Source organism: Homo sapiens, chromosome 6, assembly GCF_000001405.40.
Source record: "Homo sapiens chromosome 6, GRCh38.p14 Primary Assembly".
NCBI classification, from domain to species: Eukaryota; Metazoa; Chordata; class Mammalia; order Primates; family Hominidae; genus Homo; species Homo sapiens.
Window position 1 is genome coordinate 10,987,346 of NC_000006.12, and position 16,896 is coordinate 11,004,241.

The window sequence follows — 16,896 nt, forward strand, 5'->3', positions numbered from 1 at the left end:
CCTTCAGTTCTGCTCTGATTTTAGTTATTTCTTGCCTTCTGCTAGCTTTTGAATGTGTTTGCTCTTGCTCTTCTAGTTCTTTTCATTGTGATGTTAGGGTGTCAATTTTGGATCTTTCCTGCTTTCTCTTGTGGGCATTTAGTACTATAAATTTCCCTCTACACACTGCTTTGAATGTGTCCCAAAGATTCTGGTATGTTGTATCTTTGTTCTTATTGGTTTCAAAGAACATCTTTCTTTATTTCTGCCTAGATTTCATGTTTATAGTATCATTTTTAAACTTCTGGTTAAAGATTAAAAATAAAGACCAAAACAAATGCATGTATTTCAATGACTATTAGAGGTCACGATTTGTATATTGTGGGGCTGGCAAAGTATTCTGCATTAGTTGCTCACTTGGAAAGATAAAACTTTTAAAAATAATTCAAGTGGAAAAAGTGCTGTTATTTTAAAATACCAATACCTGGGATTCTGGCTTGATCTAGTTTTTGGCATATCCTTCCTATTCTGACAAAATACCTGATCTCGCATCTCATTTTCACTTTTTTTTTTTTTAAAGCAATAGTATTAACAAGGATCCAAACTTAAATTATATGCTTGACTTCAGAACTAAGATGCAGTTTGAACCAGCATGTAGGGCTAAGGCTTTGAATGCCATTACCTACTCTTGCTGGGCTATACGCTTCTCTTCAACACGAGGTACCAAAATCACTCCCTTAGCTTCCCTTTAACACTTAGCGTTTATTGGGAAGTTGGGGGCAGGGGTTTGCACACCCACACATAGCTTTGTTTGGTCTCATCATTGATTATTTCTTTGGAAATCTTCAAAGGAAACCTTTATCTCTTAAAACAGCCTAGTCCAATTTCAGAAATACAAGACCTGAAAAGCTGTCAAAATTCAGTTTCCACTGTTCCACACTGTATAAAACCACTATGGGGATGTGTGTGGTGGTTCACACCTGTAATCCCAGCACTCTGGGAGGCCAAGGTGGGCGGATCACCTGAGGTCAGGAGTTCAAGACCAGCCTGAACAACATGGAGAAACCCCATCTCTACTAAAAATACAAGATTAGCCAGGCGTGGTGGCACACGCCTGTAATCCCAGCTACTTGGGAGGCTGAGGCAGGAGAATCACTTGAACCCAGGAAGCAGAGGTTGTGTTGAGCCGAGACTGCGCCATTGCACTCCAGCCTGGGCAATAAGAGCAAAACTCTGTTTCAAAAAAATAAATAAAAATAAAAACCACTATGGGTTAACTTTCAGCAAGTGCAAACTAAAAAGTAAAGCACTTCTTATTAGTCTGAAAAAAATACAGTTGAATACAATTTCAAAAGTATAGTTTTGAATATAAATGTACTTTGTTTTTTAAACTAAGCTTTCCATTTCCCCAGCCTACAAAAGAGAGCAATTTAAAATCTACATCCACCTGAGGCCTCTTCTCTGTTATAGCTTTCATCCGTTCTTGTACAACAGAGTGGCTTTGAAACTGCATTTTGAAGCTGTCTTCCATTTAAGTTGTTAACTAAAAAGAAAATGACACTGGATAAAGACGTCGGTGCGGCCTTTCCATCCTGGTTCCCAAACAAACAGTGAGGCTGCAACATCAGGGTAGCTGATAAGGAACCAATTTTTAAACATGAAATTCAATAAATTAAAAACATTGAAGAAGCCCTTGCTTTGCTCCATTCACATTTCCTGGATCTGTCTTACTATACACGTTTTTAACTTTCAGATGTCAGACTTTGGTAGCATGGTACAAATACATACTGCAAATTGAGAACTGTATATATAATCCAATGATATTTTTGATAAAACCTTATGTGTATGCATTGAAAAATGTTTTTAAAAATGCCCACTAGATTATTAACTGTGGTTACCCTTTGAGGAGGAGGGTGTGGAGAGAGGAGTTAGGAGTGCAAATTTCACTTTGTGTATCTGCTACCTGAATTTATCAACAAGCATGTGCTACTATAATATTTAATCAGTAAAATTAAACAAATATGTAATGTAAAAGTGCATGATCTAGGCTGGGCATAGTGGCTCACGCCTATAATCCCAGCACTTTGGGAAGCCAAGGCAGGCAGATCACCTGAGGTCAGGAGTTCAAGACCAGCCTGGCCAACATGGCGAAACCCCATCTGTACTAAAAATACAACAATTAGCCGGGCCTCTAATCCCAACTACTTGAGAGGCTGAGGCAGGAGAATCACTTGAACCCAGAAGGCGGAGGTTGCAGTGAGCTGAGATCATGCCACTGCACTCCAGCCTGGGCAATAAGAGCGAAACTCTGTCTCCAAAAAAAAAAAAATAGTGCCAATCGATTACATTTTACTGCTGAATATTTACATTCCACGTACCTGAACGTAAAAATTTAAGAAGAGGATGACTAACGTTAGCATATAAGATGACTGGAAGATGAGACAACCGAAGGGGAAGCCACACGGTTTCACGACGGCGCTCATGGTGTGCGTGATGGTGAGCACGAACTGCACCTGGGGACGGCAGAGAGGGCATCTCTGTGAGCGAGCCAGGCTGTGCCACACAGACACTGCGGCCAAGCTTGATCAATTCAGAAATCAACTCCTAGGACTCTTGGAATTATGTAGGAACAAAACAAAGCTGCTGAAGCAGCCCCCTCATCCAGAAATCTTATTTGAAATTAGTATGTGAAATTGCCCATGATTTCCTCATGGAAAAGTCGCAGTTAAAATTATTTAGACAAAAAGGATTTAACTTACACATTAATTTGAAAAGTAATCATCTACATTTCAAAGCAAGGAACTTTCCATTATAAGCTAATAGCATGCACAAAGGGCATTTCAACACAAAAAGTTTAATTCTTAAAAGGCCAATTTTGGAAAAAAAATGGGCAGCCTCATCACACATAAAAAGCCCTCTGACTTCTAAGATTTCTATTTCCTTTCCCCATCCATAAGCCACATGGAGAAAAGCTAAAAGAAGGGACAACATACCAGCTGAGCCTGTGTGAGATATTTCTTCCACCAAAGATACTTGTGCATAGATGGAAACACAGAAAGTCCATAGTAGGAGTACATAAGAATGTGGATAAAACTGTTCAGTGTTGGTCCAAAGAAACCTATAAAAGTACAGTATAAAAATCACTATTCTTCCAGGAAGGACTGTTCATTCTTCTTTGTCAAGTGAGATTCTCTCTCTGCATGGTAATTGAAAATGAGTAGCACATATGACATGATCATATAACAAAATCCACACTAATAAATTCCCCAATTACTGTGCCAGTTCTAGGATTCACCAAAAACTCCATGATAGAAGGAGTAGCCTGGGATGGTTTTTCAGAATGCCCCCCCCCCGCCACACAGGGGAACACCTTATCTACGAGGTTTTACTGTCTCTTTAACCGTCACTACTATCAGCTACTGAGGGAGGAAAAGAAATACTAGCTTAAAGCTGTTGGCAGAATTCCTCTGAAATAGAATTGTCTTTGCTTTTTAGCTAAACCTTTGATAAGACATATTGACAAAGAGCCTTTTGTACATGGCTGAACAGGGTGCTAGAGAGACAAAATATATTGCTTTCATAATTAAGTAAATAAATTCTGCCTGAAAGACACTTAGGGACCGGGAGGTGCTGGAGAAAGAATAAAGGAGACAGAGAAGGCTGGAGTGGCGGAGAAACTGGCCAGCGAGACCTTCCCAGTGATTGGCCATTGCAGAGACTTTTAGGATGAGGGATGTCTAAAATCCAGGCCCCTGCCATCAACCTCATGAAACGTCTCTGTAACTGCCTCCACCATAGGTGAATAAGGCTTCAGGAAACCATGGAGAAAGGGTCATGTACCATGCTGGGTCAGCTAAGCATTGAAAGGATTTAGCTGCAAGAGGTGAGATGCCACAGATGCATCACTTGTTGGAAATAAGGAAACTCAGTGTTGTGAGGATTTCATCAGTACATGAAAGTGCTTAGAACAATGCTTGGCACAAAGTGAATGCTCTTCAGCTGTCAGCCTGGGATCCAGATGGCTGTTCTGCGAGCTATCCTGTGGTGGGAGGGATTGTGGCATTAGAGGGCCATTTATTGGCTATGTCCCCTTGGAGACATTGATTTGACGTAAATTTTTATTTTCTTACCTGGAAAATAGGTATAATAATAATAACTAGCTCTTAAGTTTGGGATGAAATTAACTGAGATAATATATGAATTTAAAAGCACCGCACATATGCTGGCTAATAAATCAATTTAAATTCCCTAGCCTGGTTCTTTAATCCTAGATTAGTGATCTGGATAGCTAAATGCAAATTAATAAATAAGAAACAAAAGGTACAATAGCATGCATAGAGTAAATTCTCAACCAATACTGGCTGAAATAAACTGTTACGGCGCTTGAATTTATATGAAAACACAAACAGAGTTTCAGACTACCAAGCAGCATAGTATTAGTGGTATTTCTTTACCTACATGACTTTTCATTTCCATCAATTAATGAACCATGAGTAGTTGTTGCTTATGTTTGACTCCTGTGGAAATACAGCACCTTCCACAGTCACCATTTCACTGTGATACAGATTAAGGCATTTCAAAAAATTGAAAGTCTGCTCTGGTAGGTCAAAGTATCATTTTTCTAATATTCTTAAGCAGAAATTGTCACAGTATTTACAGGACTATGTCTGTACACAGTGATGATTTGGGTTTTAGATGCTTAGTGATTTGTAATGAAACTTGACAATCATAAAAATACTTAACCTTGGTAATTCTCCTCTAATATTGATTATAGTTGTCCTTCCTTAATAACTAAACTCAAGAAATGGATGTCTACCCGTCTAGAAGGACAGAGATCAATTCTTTCTTTCTTCCCCCTGCACTCACAGCAATTTCCTCCCTCACTCTAGTGTTCATTTGTACCTTCACAGTCACTGATACTCCAAATATCTCTGGGCACTTTTTTCCCTAATATCATCTCTACAAGATCCTAAATCCTGGAACAAAGTCATTTTGACTGAAGTTTTACATGTTCTGATTTTTCATATTGTATTTCTAAATTCTTGAGAACAAGACAGTATCAAATAGAGAGTACTGTTCCCTATAGCTCAGTGCATCTCAAACTGTAGGTCATAACTGACCCATTAGTGAATGGTGAAGTCAATGCAGTGAGAATTGTCATCAACTCTTTGTAAAACAGGATTAGGCCGGGCGTGGTGGCTCACGCCTGTAATCCCAGCACTTTGGGAGGCCGAGGCGGGCGGATCACAAGGTCAAGAGATCAAGACCATCCTGGCCAACATGATGAAACCCCGTCTCTATTAAAAGTACAAAAATTAGCTGGGCGTAGTGGCGCACGCCTGTAATCCCAGCTACTCGGGAGGCTGAGGCAGGAGAATCACTTGAACCCGGAGGCAGAGGTTGCAGTGAGCCGGGATTGTGCCACTGCACTCCAGCCTGGCGACAGGGCGGGACTCCATCTCAAAAAAAACAAAACAAAAAAAAACAAAAAAAAACAGGATTAAAAAATATATACAGTACATCATATAGAGCCAGGGTAAATACTGTTTCATAAAATATCATACAAAACAGAGAAATATGAATGAGGGCCAGGCATAGTAGCTCACACCTCTAATCCTAGCACTTTAGGAAGCTGAGGGGGGAGGATTGCTTGAGCCCACGAGTTCAAGACCAGTCTGGGCAACACAGAGAGACCTTGTGTCTACACTTTTTTAAAAAATAAAAGTGTGCTTTATTATGAAGAAAATTTAAATATAACCAACAATACTGAAAATAATGTAAATGGCATTTATAGCCTTGGTCAAAATTCTTTATTAAACAGGCATTTGTTTGCTGTTCCATGAATAGTTAACAATTAGTTTATGCAACAAAATAGGTAACTTGAAAAAGTGAGTAAGAATACAGAATTATGAACCAGGAATTGGGTTCTTTTGTGTTTTTTCTTAACAGACACGGCTTTTAAAATAAAATCTGAAATATAAAGCAAGTCATCTTCATGTAGAGAGCTCTCTTTTCCTACAAGGAGGTTTTGCAAAAATGTTAAACAGTGTTCTAAAATGTGGCTGAAGTTATGCTTTACATACTTTAACTTCTTATATATACATTATCCAATTAACATAACCACATTTTCATATACAAGTGGGACCATAAACATTAATAAGACAACACTACAACACTAGCACAGAGTAATTTTACCCATGTATATATTTTCATTTGAAACCTGTTTCCCAAAATGAAATCACTCATTTAAAAGCAAACAACTGGTTGGAATTAATGTCTCTAGACATGGGTCATGGGGCCTAGAAATCATGTAAGAGTATATTGCTTTGGTTGAATATAATTAATCTCATGTCTACACTTTTTTGTTTTGTTTTGTTTTTTGAGACAGAATCTGGCTGTGTCTCCCAGGCTGGAGTGCAGTGGCGTGATCTCAGCTCACTGCAACCTCTGCCTCCCGGGCTCAAGCCATCCTCCCACCTCAGCCTCCCGAGGAGCTGGTGGTATTACAAGTGCACGTCACCACGCCCAGCTAATTTTTTTTTTTTTTTTTTTTTTTTTTTTTGGTAGAGATGGGATTTTGCCATGTTGCCCAGGCTGGTCTTTAACTCCTGAGCTCAAGCGATTTCGCCTGCCTTGGCCTCCTAAAGTGCTAGGATTACAGGCATGAGCCACTATGCCCAGCCCTACCAAAAAAAAAAAAAAAAATAGCTGGGCATGGTGGTATATGCGGGTAGTCAGTTAACTAGGAAGATGGCTTGAGCCCAGGAGGTTAAGGCTGCGGTGAGCTATGACTACACCACTGCATTCCAGCCTGGGCAGAAGAATGAGACCCTGTCTTAAAAAAATAAAAAAAGAAGAAGGGCCGGGTGCGGTGGCCCACGCCTGTAATCCCACCACTTTAGGAGGCTGAGGCGGGTGGATTGCCTGAGATCAGAAGTTCAAGACCAGCCTGGCCAACATAGTGAAACCCTGTCTCTACTAAAAATACAAAAAATTAGCTGGGCGTGGTGGTGGGCGCCTGTAATCCCAGCTACTCAGGAGGTTGAGGCAGGAAAATTGCTTGAACCCAGGAGGTGGAGGTTGCAGTGAGCTGAGATCGCGCCACTGCACTCCAGCCTGGGCAACAAGAGTGAAATTCCATCTCAAAAAAAAAAAAAAAGAACAAATATGAATGAGTGCACTGGGTTGTGATATAAAATGTATTTCTTATTGTAATTCTGTTTTTAAAAAATGGAAAATCTGGTAGGTCCTTCAGAGATGTAACCTTAATTTTTCAGAATGTGAAAACAAGAAACCCTAAAAGCTGAAATGCCTCGCCTCGATCTGTTTCACGGGGAAGTGGTGACTGTGGAAGGTGATGTATTTCCACAGGAGTCAAAACAGCGCCCGGGATTGGAGTGAAGCAGCTCCCGCTGGGGTATGTGCCTCTGACCATGGGACATATGATGTGTGGAAAAGAAAACAGTTTTAAATTTAAGGTTCGGCCCAGATTTTGCCTGTATCAAAGACCAGACACTAGAATACATGACCCCTGGCAGACACGGGCATCCTGCTGCGGCAAGGCCGGCGCTCTAGGCCTCCCTTCATGCTCTCCTGATCTGCATGCGATGCTTAATACAAGACAGCACCAGTGGTCTCTAAGAGCCATTCCTCAAAACGGAAAAATTAACAAAATAACTTACTTTGTCCACAAGGTATCCAGTTCAAGACACACCACCAGATGTTAAACATAGAAGCATGATGATATACATGAAGAAAAGTAATCTGACTCGTTTTTTTCCGCAAAACGAAGAAAATTGTGTCCAGGAACTCTACTGATTTGGAGAAATAGTACCACCAAAGCACCTTGGCTACCTATAGAAATTTGTAAAGGGGAGAAAAGGGTGAGAAATGGCAGTGTTCCTGGTGCTGCCCCACTGCTCGGCCTTCTGCCTGCTGCCTGTGGTTTCCTGCTGTTTCTTTCTCACTGCTGAAAAGGCAGCTCACCTGGTGTCCTTGTCTCCAGTTTCTCCTTATTTCAAGCAATCCACCCACCTCTAGTGAGAGATGAGTTATTTTTCCAGAACACATGTGTGATCACGTTCCTCCTCTGCATCCGCAGAACCCAAGTTCATGACTCCTGGCTTGAACCCAGGATCTCCCATGGGCTTGGGTGGCTGCTGTTTCCACCAGCCTCCTGCAAGCTCCCCACCACGGTGTCCTGTGTGCTGGAACAGTGGCCTGCTTACTCCTCCTCCAGCCATGAAAACTCTTCTCTCTGCTCCCAGCACTCCTTTCCTACTTCAGGTCTGGCATATTCTTTAATATTCCTCTTAAATGCCACCTTTTCTCTGGAACTTCACCCAGCCCTTTCCTTTTTCAGGCTGAACTGCTGCTTCATTTGTATTCAAATTACTTTAACTGTGGCTCCATAATCAATAGACATAATAGGGTGTAGCTAGTGTTACGAATCTATCAATAGATTGCAAATCACTCAAAGGCAGAAACTGTCACTCACATTTGCTCAGGGCCTAGAACTCAACAGGAGGTCATTATTATTTGTTACATTAAATTATAACTTTCCTCTGCTCTTCTAAAGTATATATGTTTTTTGTCTCTTAGACTGTCCAAGGGCAGTCTATGGCTACATCTTTTGTGTCTTTTCCTCAGATGACTAGATTAAAAATCAAGATGTTATTCATCCTTGCTAATGGTGGGAGGTCATGATAACACATCCTTTCCCTCCTAAGGCCCTCAAGTCAGTCTCATCTATAGGGAGACATTTCTTTAGTTAAAGGCACTGTGTTTTTACCACTAACATTAAACATAAGATATTTTTAAAGACATTGCATAATAGGAATCTTGAAATTAAAATATCATGCTCTACTGTCTACTTCCCAAGAAGACCATCATAAGGTACGGCCGCAACCGTCTTAATGTCTGATGAGATAATTAACCTTTAGAAATATTAAACTACAAATAAATATAAAACAACCTTTAGAGAACTGTATGGTATGCACTGGTTTGTGGTAATGCATTAGAAATAAAATGGGTGCAGAGAAATCACTATATCTTACTTTATTTGTATTGCAGTTTTGAAGACGTTTTTAAAATGTCCCACTTTGGGAGGCCGAGGTGGGTGGATCACGAGGTCAGGAGTTAAAGACCATCCTGGCTAACAAGGTGAAACCTCATCTCCACTAAAAATACAAAAAAATTAGTTGGGTGTGGTGGTGGGCACCTGTAGTCCCAGCTACTCAGGAGGCTGAGGCAGGAGAATGGTGTGAACCCAGGAGGCGGAGCTTGCAGTGAACCGAGATCACGCCACTGCACTCCGGCCTGGGGGAGAGTGAGACTCTGCCTCAAAAAAGAAAAAAAAAAAAATCCATCTTGACTGGGCGTGGAGGCTCACGCCTGTAATCCCAGCACTTTGGGAGGCTGAGGCAGGTGCATCACCTGAGGTAGGGAGGCCGAGGCAGGTGGATCACCTGAGGTCAGGAGTTCAAGACCAGCCTGGTTAACATGGTGAAACCCCGTCTCTATTAAAAATACAAAAATTAGCCAGGTGTGGTGGCGGGTGCCTGTAATCCTAGCTAATCGGGAGGCTGAGGCAGAAGAATCGCTTGAACCCAGGAGGCAGAGGTTGCACTGAGCCGAGATGGCACCACTGCACTCCAGCCTGGGCAACAAGAGTGAAACTCTGTCTCAAAAAAAAGGTCCATCTTGATATTAAAAGATTTTAGTTAAATGGTTTTTACCATCTGTCTTAATAATATGTCATGTTTAGTTATAGAAAATTTCAAACATTCACTAATGCAAGGAGAATAAGTCAAATGAACACTCAGCATCCAATGCCGAAATTCAGAATTTTCAATATGATTCCAATCTAGTATTTATCAATTCCACTTCCCACCATTTTGGGGGGCAGGGGAGTGGGAAGTATAGAATATTATAAGCAAATCTCAGGTATCACTTTATTTATAAATCCTTCTGATAGGGAGACTTTTTAACATAACCATGAAGTCATTCTGTTGTCTATCAACATTAACAATTCTTTAGTATCTTCTAATGGCCCAATCCATGTTCAAATTTCTCGGTCTCAAAAATGTCGTTGTTTTCCTAGCCTCCAGAATGTCTTTTTATAATTAGTTTAAATCACGATCCAAAGAAGGTCCATCTTCCATTGGTTTGAAATGGTTTTTAAGTCTCTTCTAACCAATAACAGTTCTCTTTGCTCCTCCCATTCTTTCATGTCTTTTATTTCTTAGAAAAACTAGATCCTTTATGAAGAATTTCTAATATTATAGGTTTGTATGATTGTTTCGTAGTATCATTTGTTTCTCTACACATGCGTTTTGTTACTGGCAATTAGATTTACAGGCTTGATTAGACTCAGGTGTAATGTTTTTGGTACGAATACTTCAGAGGGTTCTGTCTACTTCCTACTGCCTCACATCAGGAGGTACGTAATTTCCGGCTGTTCCACTGATACTCAAACTGAACAGTGAGTTCAGGTATTGAGTCGTCATTATGAAGTTTCTATTCAATTTTCACCGAATAGTTTTACCATCCACAGGTGATTGCTGTCAGATCCATGATATAGTTTAGATGTTTGTCCCCTCCAAATCTCATGTTGAAATGTCATCCCCAATGTCGGAGGTGGGGCCTTGGTGGGAGGTGTTTGTTTGGGTCACGGTGGCAGATCCCTCATGAATGGCTTGGTGCCCCTCCTGTGGTGAGTTACTGTAAGATCTAATTGTTTGAAAGAGTCTGGGACCTCCTTGTGCCTTGCTCCCTCTCTTGCCATGTGACATGCCTGCTCCCCCTTCACCTTCCACCATGATTATAGGCTTCTTGAGGGCCTCATCAGAAGTAGATACCAGCACCATGCTTTCTGTACAGCCTGCAGTACCATGAGCCAAAATGAAACTCTATAAATTACCCAGCCTCAGGTATTCCTTTATAGCAATGCAAAACAAACTAATACGATCCATTATTTCACTAGGAGTTGCAAAATGGTGATTTTTCTAATTGTTACCTAAGCATTTTTCTTTTCTCTAGAGAAGAACTTTCCCTTTTCATCGATTTGGAAATTCACATATGAAAGGCAAGATAAATGTTTAATTCTTTCCCTCTAATTTTTTTTTCCTAAAATGAATTGGTGCTCTAACAACCTTCAAAAGGTAACAATAAGAGCTTTTACAATCAGTATCATTTTAAACTCACAGTTTTTTACATATTTAATGTTTCAGTTAATTCCAGTCAGTATTCTTTTTGATGTTCAACCTGCTCCATTTTTAGGCAGTGGGGTCCCTTCCAGGCAAATCCTCTTTTTGTGATGATCCTTGTAGTCCTGGATAGCTGCTTCGCTTTCTCATAGATATCCTGGGTTCATCTTATAAACATTTCCTGCCCCAAACCAGGAAGAGGCCCATTATCTAAGAAACCTAATCTTTTCTGGAGAAAATTCTATTTAGAGAGCACAATCTAGGTAATCACTGCTCGTTGTACTGGGTTGTCATAGACTAGGCCTTTTCTGTAGACAGAGCTGAAAATTAAAATTTTTAAAAACAAATAAAGTTAATTCTGATATTTCCAATTTGAATCTATCATTAATGAGTTTTAGTTTAACTTTTTTATTGGTATCTCTTTTTTTCCATGTTTCAAATCGAAGTGCCTACAGATATTAACATTATTATACACTTAATTTATCCCATAGTGTACTATCACAGTGTCAAAAAAGCAATACCGATGTTATTAACAATAAAAAAATTACTGAATACTATTAAGATATATCTCACTAGGGGCGTTCAGTCAAAAAACTGTTTTAAAGTCACTTGAAATAGTTCCTTGGGTGATTATGTCACCAACTTAATATATAGGTATATTCATTTATTTAAGTTTGTTTCCAACTTTTAGGGGGCGGCTGCCTTGCTTTCTTTTTAAATTTAATTTTGTTTTATAATTATGTAAAGCACTCAGTGGTTCCAAAATCAAATATAGCACAAGGTACATTCAGAGAATTCTGGCTTCTCCTGTATCCCCTCTGCCCTGTTCCCTCCCCTCAAAGGAAATGCTTTTTTTTTTTTTTAGATGGAGTCTTGCTGTGTTGCTCAGGCTGGAGTGCAGTGACACAATCTCGGCTCACCACAACCTCCGCCTCCCGGGTTCAAGCGATTCTCCTGGCTCAGTCTCCTGAGTAGCTGGGACTACAGGTGCCCACCACCATGCCTGGCTAATTTTTGTATTTTTAGTAGAGACGGGGTTTCACTATGTTGGCCAGGCTGGTCTCGAACTCCTGACCTCGTGATCCACCCACCTCAGCCTCCCAAAGTGCTGGGATTACAGGCGTGAGCCACCATGCCCGGCAGAAACACTTTTTATTAGCTTTTAGTTTATCCTCTCGTTTCTTTTTAAAAATATAAGCAAATACACATACACATTCATATCATTTATTGCACAAAGGGTGCTATCCTATAAACACGGTCTGCAAGTTGCTTTTGTTCATGTAACTATATCCCAGAGACAATTCTGTAGCGGTATAGAGCTCTTCCTCACTCCACTTGGTAGAGGCATCTGCTACGTGGATGTGCTGTGGTTTATTCAGTTGGTCCTCTATAGAGGGATAGTTGGAAATCATCTTTGTTACCAAGCATTTCTATTAGAACAGGAACCCCTTTCTTATCTAATTCTAGCCTCAGCCCTCTATCTGGAAGGAGAAAACCTCCTCTCCTTGTCAATGGGAACTGGTTATAGTTGGTTGATTTGCTTCTAGTGGCTCACCCGGATGTCAGCTTCCCCTGCGCTGGTAAGATCTTGACACTGTAAGTTGTAGCCTCCTTCCCAAGTGGAGAGAATGAGCTGCCAAAGAACCAAGAAAGAAAGAAAAACAAACATCAGCACAAGAATTTGGATACAGACTGAATTTCCCATTCATGTCTCTGGCATCTGTTCAAGGTTTGAGTAGGAATTTCCCAGAATTTGAGTTTGTCTCAATCCTATCCTCAAACACCTATTATCAGGGGACTTATTTCCTGCTGTTGAACTGAAATCAATGGCTATTTCCTTAATTAACATATGTTACCTCTAACTACATTGGCCAAAATAACAGATTTTAACTATCATTTGATTCACAAAATTTTATGTAAGGAATTACCTAGTCATGTTTCTACAAGTGTAATGTAGAATTAGTTGAAAACAACTGTGAGAAAACTACAGTAAAAGTTTAATATTTTGTATTGGTTTAAATATATTTAATCATCTCAATAATTTTTAAAAATACATATATTGCCATTTTACAGATATTAAAAACAGGGTTCAGTAAGGTTCTTAAACCATTTTCTTCACTGTATTTATGCTACTTGGTAATCAAACAATTTGGTGGTTAATTGATTAATGTCTGTCTTCCCCATTACTCTCAAAAACCAACAAGCTCCAAAAAATTTATGCATCTGTTTTTGCTCATCTTTGTATCTACAGTTCCTTGCCTAGTACCTGCTACATGGTAAGTGTTCAGTAAACATTTGATGAGTGTATGATTTGCTCAAGATTACATGACTAGAAAGTGGTAGAAGGATGATTAGAATTCAGACTTCCTAATTCATTGTTTGGTGTACTTTCCACCTCATGAGAAAATGAGCTTTTTTATTCTTTGTTGAAAATGCTATGAAAGAAGTTTTCTCCCTGTAAAAAGTTAAAATTCTAGAATATAAGGCATTTGGGATTGATTTGGATCAGGTATTACAGGCGAAAGGCCTACGATTTAATATTTTCTGCTGCCTTAGAGATGTATAAAATTCATACACAATATCCATTAAAATACATATACACAGCTGAGAGGGTTTGGATGTTAATTAATTGTTAGAGAGAGAGAGATTACTAAATAACATTTAGAATGTTTTAGAACCTTTGTGAGACTTCTTCACTGTCCTGATATACCTCTCTTTCCTTCTAACAAAAACCCTTTCTGTTAACATCATGCTAATTAAAGATTATCAATATAAATAAGTCCAGTGAAAGAAGAAAACCTTGGGTTTTCCTGAATGGGATCTACTACAAATCAGGTCATTTCCCAGTATCTCCCAGGGGATTTATGCTCTTAGTTCTCAACTGGGAATCAGCGACTGGCTAGAGAGGACCCAGAAAGACCTTAAACTACATATAAATTTTGGTGTGTTCGTGCATTTTTTCAAACTAAGAAAGCTGTTTAACTTTGTGTACAAGGATTAATTAAAAACCTCTATGGTCAGGTTGTAGTTCTGTAGTAAGGGGCTCTAATCTCTACTCCGCAATTAATACAGTTATAGAGTAACTCCTGACTGTGGAGAGGACAGGGCATATTCTGTTTCCCCATGTTTCCTGCTTTAGTTAGATTTATCCGGGCTGTCCCCATTCCTGTGGCATCTGTGCAGAACTACCTGACAATTATGAATAGGCAGCCAAGCTAGAGAGGCTCTGTCTCTCCCTGGACCATTCTTAATCCCCTTACTGGTGTAGGAGTCATCCAACCTATGTGTTGAAGAAAAGGAAGCAAGGCTGTCAAATAGGGTTAGGTGTAAGGAGGTGTGGACTAAATCACTTCAAAATATACTTAGAATCCACCAGCTTCTTCCCATCTTCACCACCTTAATCCAAGATGTTAACATCTGTTGCCTGTAGTACTGCAATGATCTCCTAACTGGACTTTTGCTAACATTCTTGCCAACTCACCCTCATGGTCCATTTTCTATGTAGGAGCTAGAGTGATCTATTTTAAGAGGGAGATAATAGCACTCCCGTCATTAAAATCCTCCAATAGCTTTCCATTACACTTAGAGTGCAAGCCAAATTCCTTCCAAGGGCCCAATGTCATCTGCCATCTCTCCACCTCATCTTGAACCACTGATCCTCTGTCCACTGTGTCATTCAGTCTCAACTCCAATGTCACCTTTTCAGAGGCTGCCCCATCACCAGCCTCTCACTCTTTCTTACAGGGCAAAGGTTGTGTTCTAGAATCTACAGTCGAATCTGACAGTGTGGGAACTCAATACATATTTGTTGAAAGACTGTTAATAATTATTGCGGTGATTTTCTGGCTTAAGCAAACATCTGCTGACCCCTAACAAGTTAGCAAGGTTAAATCAGTGTGTCACCTGACTAGTATCTATTAAACATACCCCCAGAGTGTCAAAGAAGACCTTTTGCCTGCTCTGAAAGAGGTCACAATCAAAGAGAGGAGACTGGGTGGCAATCAATGGTAGTGATTTTGAACTGAACTAAGTGATTTTACACCTATACAAAGTTTAAGAGAAAGAGTGGGTAAGCAGTAGATAAAATCAGTGGTAGGCAATGGGCTCAGTGCAGATACGTTCTTCCTAGAAAGAAGACATTTACCTCGTTGTTCAACAACTAAACGGTTGTTCTTGCTCCTGTTGATGGTGACTACTGTTCAACTAGCACTTTACAATTCACAAAGCATTTTCACATTTACCAACTCCTACCCTGTACTAGTCCATAGGCTCTTCAAGTGTAGAAGCTGTGTCTTATCCATCTTATACCTTCAGGGCTTCCTATTCAGTGCCTAGGAAAAGCTCACTACATGCTGATTGAACAGAAGTCATCAATCCTTACAAGTCACTCAAGAGTTATATAGGAGAAATATTGTATCTCTGCCTTATAGATAAGTTGCCTAAGGTTTGGAAAGTCTAAGTTAAACTGCTGTAAAATTACACAGAAAGTGACAGAGCTAAAACAAACTTGTATCTTCTGACTCCATTACACCAAAGCTCCACCCAAACAGGTACTAGAACTGCTGGTGTGGTTGGACATGCAGGCTGGCCCTTCTGCTGCTGCTGTCACTTCTTTTTTATTTTACTTTAAATTCTGGGATACATGTGCAGAATGTGCAGGTTTGTTACATAGGTATACAAGTGCCATGGTGGTTTGCTGCACCTATCAACCCCTCATCTAGGTTTTAAGCCCCACATGCATTAGGTATTTGTCCCAGTGCTCTCCCTACCCTTGCTCCCCACCCCCCGACAGGCCCGGGCGTGTGATGTTCCCCTCCCTGTGTCCATGTGTTCTCATTGTTCAACTCCCACTTATAAGTGAGAACATGTGGTGTTTGGTTTTCTGTTCCTGTGTTAGTTTGCTGAGAATGATGGCTTCCAGTTTCATCTATGTCCCTGCAAAGGACATGAATCTCATTCTTTTTTATGGCTGCATAGTATTCCATGGTGTATATGTGCCACATTTTCTTTATCCAGTCTATCATTGATGGGCGTTTGGGTTGGTTCCAAGTCTTTGCTATTGTAAATAGTGTGCAGCTGTCACTTATGGAAAACAATCCAAGAGTATCTTGCCTTCTGCTATATAGAGAAACGAATCCCATAAATTACTATCTTGCTAACTCATCTAGGGAGCTAAAATTCAGCTAGTAGAGAACCTAAAATAAAAATGGTCCTTTCAGTGTCAAGTAGATTCGTGAGCACCTATGTGATATAATTTTAAGAGTTGTCAGCTGGGGGTGGCGGCTCACGCCTGTAATCCCAGCACTCTGGGAGGCCGAGGCGGGTGGATCACCTGAGGTCAGGAGTTCGAGACCAGCCTAACCAACATGGTGAATCCCCATCTCTACTAAAAAAAAAAAAAATTAGCCAGGATTGGTGGTGGGTGCCTGTAATCCCAGCCACTCGTGAGGCTGAGGCAAGACAATTGCTTGAACCCAGGAGGTGGAGGTTGCAGTGAGCTGAGATTGCGCCATTGCACTCCAGCCTGGGTGACACAGCAAGACTCTGCCTCAAAAAAAAAAAAAAGTTGTCAGCATGGCTTTTTTGACCCCAAAATTCCATCTCCTATACTGACTGATGCCTAAAATTCCATTATGAGAGCTTCATTCCAGTCATTTATGGTAATATTAATAGTTATTAAGAATGGTACATATTAGAATAATGCATAGAA

General features: G+C 40.2%; 1 protein-coding gene across 4 annotated transcripts in view; it reads right to left on the reverse strand.

Moving 5' to 3' along the window:
- The window catches only part of ELOVL2 (ELOVL fatty acid elongase 2), a 63,547-nt gene that overhangs the window by 6,587 nt on the left and 40,064 nt on the right, over positions 1–16,896 (reverse strand). For 3 of the 4 annotated variants that reach the window (NM_017770.4, XM_011514717.4, XM_011514716.4), the window contains exons 4-7: positions 12,742–12,819; positions 7,662–7,833; positions 2,973–3,097; positions 2,358–2,492 (exon numbers count right to left, since the gene is read on the reverse strand). In NM_017770.4, coding sequence (NP_060240.3) covers positions 2,358–2,492; positions 2,973–3,097; positions 7,662–7,833; positions 12,742–12,819 — 510 coding nt within the window. Of the gene's footprint in view, positions 1–2,357; positions 2,493–2,972; positions 3,098–7,661; positions 7,834–9,918; positions 11,507–12,741; positions 12,820–16,896 lie in introns of those variants that run through there. The other variant, XM_017010985.2, reaches the window with a different exon arrangement.